The 11,330-nt window shown below is 41.0% G+C and overlaps 1 long non-coding RNA gene across 2 annotated transcripts, besides 1 other annotated feature; it reads left to right on the forward strand.

The window, feature by feature from the left end:
* Positions 526–1,725: an enhancer, noted in NCBI's record as "P300/CBP strongly-dependent group 1 enhancer chr17:14276639-14277838 (GRCh37/hg19 assembly coordinates)". NCBI's record gives its function as "activates an origin of replication core promoter dependent on BRD2, BRD4, P300/CBP, MED14 and CDK7 cofactors, with strong dependence on P300/CBP, by STARR-seq in HCT116 cells {active_cell/tissue: HCT116}" and the evidence as "EXISTENCE:reporter gene assay evidence [ECO:0000049][PMID:35650434]".
* On the forward strand, positions 1,315–11,019 carry LROMI1 (lncRNA regulator of macrophage immunity 1). Of its 2 annotated transcripts, XR_007065630.1 has the most exons (4): positions 1,315–1,432; positions 4,488–4,625; positions 8,996–9,140; positions 9,222–11,019. It is a non-coding gene; the product is annotated as a lncRNA regulator of macrophage immunity 1 (long non-coding RNA). The 2 variants fall into 2 exon arrangements; XR_007065629.1 differs by lacking the exon at positions 8,996–9,140.
* The last annotated feature ends 311 nt before the right edge of the window (positions 11,020–11,330 follow it).

Genomic DNA, 11,330 nt, shown 5'->3' on the forward strand with positions numbered 1-11,330 from the left:
TTTTAAAACTTCAAAGAAGGTAAGTTCGGCATGAGAATTTCTGTTTTCTCAACCACGACTCTCTCATGAAATAAACAGTGCCAGGCCGCCCTCCCTTCCAAGCTTAGAAACTTGGTTTTTTCATTGCAGAATCTCTTACTTTCAGATCGGAAGTAGGAGGAAAAGCCAGGAGGCCTTGAACTGTTGGGCTCTTTCTCATTTATTTACCTACTTCTATCAGCCTGACCATTGGAACTGAAGAGTCGATTAGGTCAAATGGTTGGTCAATGCAAGTTAAACAAGTTACTTGCTTAAAAAGAAAAAAAAATAATAAAAGCAACCTTTTTTCTTTTAACCACTCAATTGACCAAATGAAATTCTCCCCCTCATCCCCTCCCATTCTGTGCCTGTACTGTTGACAGTCAGTTGAGATGGCCAGGACAGAGCAGTGACTAGGACAAAAGAGCGTGATAACAGTTGAAGTTTTGGCCAACAGAGGGGTCAGAGGCCAGAAAAGCAAACCGAGATCAAGGGACAGAGATAACTGGGGGCATAGCCCATGCAAATACTCGGTGACCAGGAGAGTGGCCGTGTGGAGAAGCAGGGCAGGAATGTGACCACCCAGCTGGGTGAGGGGCTGCTGGCGTGGAGGCAGCTGCCTGCTCAGCCCAGCCCAGCTGCATTTTCTCCTCTTTCACCCTGGTGAGAACCAGCCTTCCTTCGGTTCTGCCTGAGGACCCTGTAGGTGCTGAAAATGGAATACAGCTGGCAGGTAGTGGGCGGACAGTGAAAACGTGCCCTGATATTATTCTGAGAAAAAAAAAGAGCTTTATTGCTTCTTGTCAGACTATACTATGTTTTAGGAAGAGTTGGGTTCCCCCAAAGAGAAGGTGCAGGGTGCTGGGAGCAGGATCCTCAGTTTGTAAGAACGCACTCACTGCTCCAAGGCAGCCAACAAAAAATTTTTAAAAAGGGTGATTGAAGGTTCAACTTTTGACATGTAAAATCCAGTCATAGCTTGGGTTTCCCGGAAGCAGTCCCTGAGACAGAGATTTTAGTGCAACAGTTTATTTGGGAGGCGATCCTGGGAAACACCAGAAGGGAAGTGGAAAATTGAAATGTCGAAGGAAGCCAATAAAATATGCGTTATTGAGCAGATGGCCCCTGTGACCAACTAGGCTCAGTATCTCTGGGGAACCCCCAGAGACAGTGTAGAGTAAATTCCAGAATTATGCCATCCAAGGGAAAAGGGAGCTGAATCATTCATCTCTCAGCTGTTGCAAGCTATTGGTGGAGGGATTTTCCCAAGAGGCATTACCTCCCAGGCTTGTCCTCACTTTGCCTGTGTGGCCTCCAGTGGTCAGACAGAACCCAAAGGAAAAGAGCCAGGGTGCGGATTGGCAGAAGCTATTCTGGCCCATGTGCAGAGCATCAAGAATGTGTGCTGCAAAAGGTGAGTCGGTGTGCTCCGTTGCTAGGAAAGCTCAGTATTGCGCTCACAGAGATATCTAAGATTCAGCCAGGAGAGTCCTTATTATTTACTCCCCCACTAATGATCATCCCATCAATTTCATGGATCAAAAGAGACAGGAACACACTTCCTCTGGCAGCTGGGTCTCCAGCCCTTCCATCTGTTTGGTTGTTTTTGTTATAAACTTCAGGAATGTATCTCAAATAATGAGAATTTTTTTTTAATTAATCACTCCTTTGTACAAGTCCAGGCTTATAATGAAAAGCAATATGAATTAGAACAACTTCTGAGGCAGCAAATGCCTGGATAAAGGAATCAAGAGGGAAAGCTCAATGGACAGTCATGGAACCACCTATATCCATTTGCCAAGTTCATAATTTTTGAGATAGCAGCCTTCTGACAATTTTGATGTATGTTTCACATAATCATCTATTATCTTAATTTGTAACATTTCTTTTAAACTCACCAGAGGGCATGTTCTTTCAGAAGCTCAATTATGTGCAGTTAGTTGTTTGACAACACTTTTGGCAAATGGTTATTAAGAGAGTAGGATCTGTGTTTTTGACAAACAGGACAGAGCAAGATTCCCAGCACATGCTGCTGGGAGGGGACCCAGGGCGTGAGACAAATCTCCTGCAGATTTTTTGAGAAATGTAATGTATTGATAAGCATGGAGACTGAGAAGTTCTGACTTCTTATCCTGTAGGGTACACTCCCAATGAGGAAGGGGGAAGAGGAGCAGCATTTAACAAATGTTTATTGAGGGTTTACTACGTGCTAAATCAGAGATTCTTTTGGTCTCAGGACACTTTATACTCTTGAAAAGTACTGAAACCCACCAAGTGCTGTTGTTTATGTGGGCTATATCTACTGACATTAATCATATTTTAGAAGTTAGAACTGAGAATCATGTTAAAAATTATTATTAATCTATTTAAAAATAATAAAACCACTATATATTAACATAACAACATATTATGGAAAATAATTATATTTTCTCAAACAAAAGAATATATAGCAGGAAGAGTGTCAGTGCTTTACCTTTTGGCAAATCTCTTTTGTGTCTGGCTTGTTAGATGGAAGACAGCTGAATTTTTATATCTGATTCTGCATGTAATTTGTTGTAATACGTTGTTTGGTAGAAGTACATGAAGAGAATCTGGCCACACACAAATATATGGTTGGAAAGACGAAGAGTATTTTAATAGCCTTTCAGATAATTGTATATATTTTTCTTTGATGTGATACCCAAACTTGACAAATCGTTTGTTTGATCTTTCTTTTCTTTCCTCCCTCCTTCCCTTCCTCCCTTCCTTCCTCTCTCCCTCCATTCTCCTCCTCTTCCTTCTTCTTCTTTTCTTCTTCACCGTTTTTTTTTTTTTTTTTTGAGGCATAGTCTCGCTCTGTCAGCAGGCTGGATGGAGTGCAGTGATCTCAGCTCACTGCAACCGCCACCTCCCGGGTTCAAGCGATTCCCTGACTCAGCCTGTAGTCCAGTAGCTGGGACTACAGGCATGCGCCACCTTGCCCGGCTAATTTTTTTTTTTTGGATTTTAGTAGAGACAGGGTTTCACCATGTTGGCCAGGATGGTCTTGATCTCCTGACCTTGTGATTACCCCACCTCGGCCTCCCAAAGTGCTGGGATTACAAGTGTGAGCCACCGCACCCGGCCTTCTTCACCATTTTTAAGTGAACATTCACATCGCTGTCAATCGTCACCATCATCTCCAGAACTCTTTTTGTCTTGCTAAACTGAAACACTGTATCCATTAAACAACAACTCTCCATTCCTGACTTCCCCCAGTTCCTGGCAATTTCCGTTCTACTTTCTGTTTCTATGAACGTGACTGTTCTATGTACTTCATACGAGTGGAATCATACAGTATTTATCTTTTTGTGACTTGTTTATTTCACTTAGCATAATGTCTTCAAGGTTCATCCATGTTGTAGAATGTGTCCAAATTTCCTTCCTTTTTAAGGCTGAATAATATCCCAATTACATGTATATACCACATTTTGTTCATTCATTCATTCATTCATTTATTCCTTCAAAGACACTTGGGTTGCATCCACTTTTTGGTTATTGTGAATATTGCTGCTGTGAAGATAGTTGCACAAATGCCTGATTGAGTCCCTGCTTTTACTTCTTTTGGTTATACACCCAGAAGCAGAATTGCTAAGATTGTGTGGTAATTTTATTTTTAGTTTTTTGAGTAATTGCCATACGTTTAAGTAGTAATTACTTAAAGGTTAGTTGCAATGTGGAATCTGAAACCATATTAATGAACTTTTGTGACCTGTTACATTAAAATTCATTGGTCTGCCTTGCACATTGAATAAATCTTTAACCCACACATGATTCTTCAGTTTGTATGGGCCATTTGAAAAAGACTGGTTCACTGAGTTATGTAGCTTTTCCAAATAACAGTCCATCTTTAATATAATATAAAACAATCAGATTCATTAATATTGCCCCTCATATCATCAGAAAAATCTTCAAAGTATTGCAAGCTGTTAAGTTCATGGTGGCTGATACAATTCTGATTTTTATTTGAAAGCGTGTATTTTATCTTTGGCAACAAATGCTGCCAATTGTTTTCCTTGAAGTGACAGCCTCACTTTGTTCATTTTCAAGAATGTGTCTAACACTTACTCAAGTCCTAATCACGATAATTTGTAGTTTTTTAAGTAATAATGATATCTACAGGGGTAGGAAAAAACTATTTTGAGAATAGTTTGGATTTCACAGACTTCCTGCAAGTTGTCTTGCGGATGGCCAGAGGCTATGAGCTGTCATTTGAGAACCACTGTGTAAATACAATGCTGCTTGGCTGAAAATTCATACACATACTAAACACATATGTATAGTATGTATCTTATTTGTTAAGAAAACTTATTTTCACTATTCAAAAATAACATAGATCTATAAGTGAAAATTCACTGAAGCAAACATATGACAATAAAAATCAGCAGTAATCTCATCATCCATGAAATAGCTATAATTATTTATTTATTTGTTTGTTTGTTTTGAGACAGAGTCTCTCTCTGTCACCCAGGCTGGAGTGCAGTGGCGCCATCTCGGCTCACTGCAAGCTCCGCCTCCCGGGTTCATGCCATTCTCCTGCCTCAGCCTCCCGAGTAGCTGGGACTACAGGCGTCCGCCACCACGCCCAGGTAATTTTTTGTATTTTTAGTAGAGATGGGGTTTCACCGTGTTAGCCAGGATGGTCTCAATCTCCTGACCTCGTGATCGGCCCGCCTCGGCCTCCCAAAGTGCTGGTATTACAGGCGTGAGCCACCGCGCCTGGCGAAATAGCTATATTTAATAATTTGCTACCTGTGTTTCCAGATAGCTACCTATATCTATTTATCTACGTATTTACCTTTTAAAAATAAAATCCTATTAAACAAATTATTATGTAACCTGCTTTGTTTGTATAATGATATGGGATAAATATCTTCCATGCTGTTAAACATTATCATAAAGATACTTTTTAAGAAAAGGCTTTACATTGAATCATATGGCTATATCAAAATTTATTTTTGTATTTATTTTTTTGAGATGGAGTCTCACTCTGTTGCCCAGGCTGGAGTGCAATGGAGCGATCTTGGCTCACTGCAGCCTTTGCCTCCCAGGTTCAAGCAATTCTCCTCCCTCAGCCTCCCGAGTAGCTGGGATTATAGGCATGTGTCACCACACCCGGCTATATTTTTTTTGTATTTTTAGTAGAAAAGGGGTTTCACCATATTGGCCAGGCTGGTCTCGAACTCCTGACCTTGTGATCTGCCCACCTTGGCCTCCCAAAGTGCTGGGATTACAGGCATGAGCCACTACGCCCGGTCTCAAAATTTATTTTAACCAAAGCCAGGAGTTACTTGTTATAAAAATTCTGCATGTATCATTCTTTTTTCTTTTTTCTTTTTTTAAATTTGAGACAGGGTCTCTTTGTCACCCAGGCTGGAGTACACTGGCACGATCTCAGCTTATTGCATCCTCAGCTTCCCTAGGCTTATGTGATCCTCCCATCTCAGCTTCCCAAGTAGCTGGGACTACAGGTGCATGCCATCGTGCCCAGCTAATTTTTGTATTTTTTGTAGAGACGAAGTTTTGCCATGTTGCCCAGGCTGGTCTCAAACTCCTGGCCTCAAGCAATCTGCCTGCTTTAGCCTCTCAAAGTGCTGGAATTACATGCATGAGCCACTATGCCTGGCCCTTTCACCCACCACTTTTTATTTTTTTATTTTTTTTTTAGAGACGAAGTCCTACTCTGCCATCCAGACTGGAGAAGTACAGTGGCACGATCTAGGCTCACTGTAGCCTCCGCCTCCCGGGTTCAGGCAATTCTCATGCCTCAGCTTCCTGAGTAGCTGGGATTATAGACCTGCACCACCATACCTGGCAAATTTTTGTATTTTTAGTAGAGATGGGGTTTCACCATGTTGGCCAGGGTGGTCTTGAACTTTTGAGCTCAAACTGATCCACCCACCTCAGCCTCCCAAAGTGCTGGGATTACAGGCATGCACCACCGTGCCTGGCCACACCCACCATTCTTATAACTAAATTATTAGATATTTATTACTATTTTCTTCCATACTATAAATTTTTAGAAGTAGTATCCTGTAGATCATGGAATCTTTATGTTTTAGAATAAATATGGATGTTGTCTAATTGTCCTCCAAAACGTTGTCTCAACCTACTCTCCCATAGGACCGTAGAGGGCCTGGGTCCAGGTGCTATTCTTTGCCCTCTGATGTGCACCAGGTTGTTCTTGTTCCTGTGATGGAGTGTTTATCTCTGTGCGTTCCCTAAGGAGGGAGGACCTGTTCAAATGGTGTGTGCCCATGGCCCATTTCCTGTGCAATCGTGTGATACCCCACACCTCTAACACACACACCTTGATCTACAGGAAAGGGCAGAGCTGTTGGGCCCCATTTCCCAGATCAGCCTTGCAGGAGGGCACTTATTTATTCTGTGTTGCTGAAACGTCATCGTCTCCTACTCCCGAAGTTTGGGTTTCTGACGATCCAATCCGATGAAAGACACAGACAACTACAATTTCCAGCAGTTGTAACTTCAGATTCTCTTCCCCACATGCCAGGGCCTCACTTTTCAGCTTACTGTAAGACCTTGGGTCTGGCTGAGTAATGAACTTGGTGCATGGAAGAAAGAAACTCATCTAACTTGAAGAAAGCTAAACCTGCACCAACTTCCTCTAACATTTTCTGACTTGACCAATTTGGTTGAGTATCAAACTTGCAGAAAGAGGGTAGAGTTGATTATGGCCTTCTAATGTTTTTATTAATATTATTTTTGATTGTGGTGAAACACATATAACATGGAATTTATCATCTCAGCCACTTTAAGTGTATAGTTCAGTTGTGTTAAGTACATTCACATTGTTGTGTAACTATTACCACCATCCATCTCCAAAACTTTTTCATCTTGCAAAACTGAAGCTATATACCCATTAAACACCTCCCAGCCCCTGGTAATTTCTATTCTAGTTTTTGACTCTCTCTAGGTACCTCATACAAGTGGAATCACCCAATATTTCTCTTTTTGTGACTGGCTTATTTTACTTAGCATAATTGGCCCACTGATTTTAACATTCTGCTTTTATGAGCCAGCACCAGGATGGTTCGATTAGTGTGTTTCAAATGGATAACATCAGGATTTTCACATTCCTGAGTAAATTTGGTCAGGAAAGGGGATGTATAAACATTGTTATTGCTCTTGAAAGGGATAATTTGTCTAAATGAGTTTTTAGAAGAAATGGCACAGCATCACTATTAATGAGGTTGTCAGTGAATGTCTATCTATGTAAAGAAGAACAAAACCAGAATTTCAGGCATGTATTTTCTTGCCATTTCATGGCAAGAAGTACAATATCCTGGACCACGAGGATTTTAGAATCACTGACAGTTTATTGTCTTTACCCTTCCTGTAAGACTGAAGGACTCCTCATTTCCATGGCCAGTTTGGAAAAACTGTTCTTGTTCTGATAGAATGTTGCAGAGTTGACTTTGTCTTGGTAGAAATTTGAGGGTGGTATAAGCACCACAACCTAAAGCATTGTGTCAGTGGCATTCCAATTCTTTTGTTTTTTGAGACGGAGTTTCGCTCTTGTTGCCCAGGCTGGAGTGCAATGGCGTGATCTCGGCTCACTGCAACCTCTGTCTCCCAGGTTCGAGCGATTCTTCTCCCTCAGCCTCCCTAACAGCTGGGATTATAGGTGCCCGCCATCACGCCTGGCTAATTTTTTTTGTATTTATAGTATAGACGGCGTTTCACTATGTTGGTCAGGCTGGTCTTGAACTCCTGACCTCAGGTGATCCACCCACCTAGGCCTACCAAAGTGCTGGGATTACAGGTATGAGCCACCATGCCTGCCCAGCATTCCAATTCTTTATTAAAATTAATTTAGACTATCAAGAAAGTCTAAAAAAATTGAACACTCAAAGGATTGCAGAGGATGCCGTATAGATGTCGAAGGCTGCCTGTGTAGAAGAGGGAGGACCTGTAGCAGGTGCTTCTGACTTCCACTCATGACTTGCTCTGTGCCAGGCACACGTTTATTGAGTGTGTCAGTTCATCCCATTTTACAAAAATGCTATGAGGTGCTTCTTATTAGTGCTATTTTAACAAGTGCAGAAACAGAAGAGAGAAGGGTTATATAATTTCTTAAAATCACAGAACTGGGAAGTGAAGGAGCAGGATTTGAATTCAGGCAGTCCAATTCCAGACTCTTTGGGGCTTCATAAGCCTATCCTAAGATTCCTTATCTCTCAACAGATGGCTGAGTATTTATTAGATTGGCCTGTTGAAGAAAAAACCTTTAAAAAATAATATAACACTTTTACCTAAAAAATAGTAATAAAATAGAAAACACTAGAAGTGATTTTTTTTTGTGATAATATAAACCTATGGTAAAAGTTTTTTGAAAAATGTTTTTTTGAAAATATTTTTGGGGGCTTTGCAAGTAAGAACATTTGAAAACTCTCTTCTAGCCTACAAATGATTTTGGAAGAGAATGATTATGCTAAATCTGATTTTATTAGAAATGAGAAAAGATTAAAAATTATTTAAACCTAGTAGGTAAAAAGCTACTCCACTACCTTGGAGATCACTTTAATTGTCTGGAATACGTCAATGGAATATCAGTCAAACACAAAATAAGAGACTGCCTTCATCATAGTACATGAAAATTATTTCCTTTATAAACAACAGAATCAGGAATAGTTCTGTTTTAAGAAAAATGTTATTAAACAAAGCAAGTGTGTAAGGCAGGCAAAGTGGATCACACCCAAATGACCACATGCCCAGCAAGTATAAGTAAATATTTTAACGGCCTTTCCTCCTTGTTATTGTGATATATGAAGCTATGCATTACTTTTTGAACCAAGCAATCAGATTTAGCAGAATAAGCCTATGCATTTCATCCAGGATTATGACAGCGGATTAGGTAAGGCCTACAGGGACCGTACAGCCGGTGATTGGGCTCCCAACCACCTACTGAAAATTTAAAGGAGCTTTCTGCTTTCAGATCCCTATCACGTCCTCGACTTTCCTGCAAGAGGCAGATTATTACAGTCCCCTGGGAGCCACTCAGGGGGAGTCTCAGGGCACAGAGGTTATTTGATTCAATTACAAGAAATCTGATGAGTATCTACAAGGAACTCAGAGCTGTGGTAGGTGAGAACAGTTTTGGATATACGGAAAAGATGAATAAGGCAATGTACTGGCTCTTAAGGATTTGTGGTCTTTTTTAGGGAGAAGAGAAAAAAGTGCATGAAGTAAAGAAAAAGCAGGGAATGAGAGAAAAAAATGGAGGAGTGAGTGCCACAGCCCAGTCAGTAAGTGCTACGTAAGTGCCTGGAAGAGCGAGAGAGGGTGGGGACTATGCTGGGAAGTCCAAGACGCAGGGTCTATGTGGATGGTAGCTAACACAATAGTGGTCTCCCCCCAAGAAGCAAAGCAATGGCATAGAACTAAGAACTCTAACTCAAGACAGTTTTCCTGAAATACAACAACTACATTTTGAAAATTACCATATTCCTGAGAATATTGACCCAGAATGATCAACACTGAGACATATTCTAGCAAAATTTGGGGGCTTACAAAAAGGAAAAGAAATCCTTTGGGCAAGAACCTGACCCCGAAAGTGAATTCGATTATCATCAGATTTTTGACAACGATGTTTTATGCTAGAAAAAAATGGAGTAACATCTTTCAGACAGCCCCTTCCTACAGACTCTTGGAAAGAACTAGCTGTAGACAAGCAAAATGGCTAGAGGACAGTGACACAGGGCTGGGGTTGATAGTTACTCTAGAGCTAAGATTAAATGAGGGCTAAACCGGAGGCAGGACAGTGCATATGATGGTTATACGATCTGACAATGCAGATATAGGATGACCACAAAAATCGGGGGAAATGGGAAAGCATATGAAGACATTTTTTTGTTTGTTTTTGAGACAACCTGTTGCCCAGGCTGGAATGCAATGGTGGATTCATAACTCACTGTAACCTCGAACTCCTGGGCTTAAGCAATCCTCCTAACTCAGCCTCCCAAATAGCTGGGACTACAGGTGCACGCCACTATGCTGGGCTAACTTTTTTTTTTTGGAGAGACTGGATGTTGTTGCTATGTTGCCTAGGCAGTTCTCAAACTCCTGGCCCCAAGTGATCCTCCCACCTTGGCCTCCCAAAGTGCTGGGATTACAGGTGTTGTGAGCCACTGTGCCCGGCATGAAAGCATTTTTTAAACAACTCTCATAAATTACACCAAGTGTTAGAGTGTGATATTGCTATTCTGATACTGCTGTGTGTAGTATGGGATAAACAGGCACCTTTTTATATTCTGCACCTTCTACCTAACCTCAGGATAGATCACTGGACACAACATCAACTTTTTGCTTCTCTTTGTAAACGATGCTATTTATTTATTTGTTTATTTTTACCAGCAATGACTTTGGAGGCTTGCTTTAATAACACCACTCTTTCTCAACTCCCCAGGTTTCCATTTCTGTGCGAAGGGCTTCCATTCATTCCTGTTATCCTTCTTGCTTTATTCCTGGCTGTCTAGGTTTAGCATATTTTTAAATCTGGAAGAATATTTATCTTCAGACTGGTAGGGACTTTTGTTTATTTTATTAATCTCTAAAGGTCTGTCCTGGACCACTGACAGCCATTGTCCATTTCAAACTCGGTTGTTAGCAGAATTAACCTGTCATTTCACGGAAATAGTCTGTGTTGCTGGAAACCGAAACTTTCGCACCCAGGAATTTACCAGGCGTTTGGTTCAGTGTGGTTTATTTAGATGTCGTTGAATGGCCAACGGCTTAGTTTCTTTCTCTCCCTTTTGTACTTTCTAAGGCAAAAAGGAGAAAATGCTGGGTACTCATCACTCAGAAGCATGTGTTTTATTTTTCTTCATAGACTTTTCTCCATGTGATTATGATTTATGTGTTTATGACTTTCTCCCCATGACAGCAGGGCCCTTTGTTGTTTGCTGTTGTTTCTGCAGCACTTGGCGCCGATGGCATTTCAATAAATATTTGTTGAATGAATGAATGGGATGCTTTTAGATATTATGTATTTGTGATAAAGCAGATATGTGAATTCTTTTTTTTTTTTTTTTTTTGACACGAGTCTCCCTCTGTTGCCCATGCTGGAGTGCCCAGGCTGGAGTGCAGTGGCGCAATCTCTGTTCACTGCAACCTCCACCTCCCAAATTCAAGCGATTCTCCTGCCTCAGCCTCCCGAGTAGCTGGGACCACAAGCATGTGCCACCACACTCAGCTAATTTTTTGAATTTTTAGTAGAGATATGGTTTCACCATGTTGGTCAGGCTGGTCCTGAACTCCTGACCTCAAATGAT

The sequence above is a fragment of the Homo sapiens genome, chromosome 17, assembly GCF_000001405.40.
Source record: "Homo sapiens chromosome 17, GRCh38.p14 Primary Assembly".
Lineage (NCBI taxonomy): Eukaryota > Metazoa > Chordata > Mammalia > Primates > Hominidae > Homo > Homo sapiens.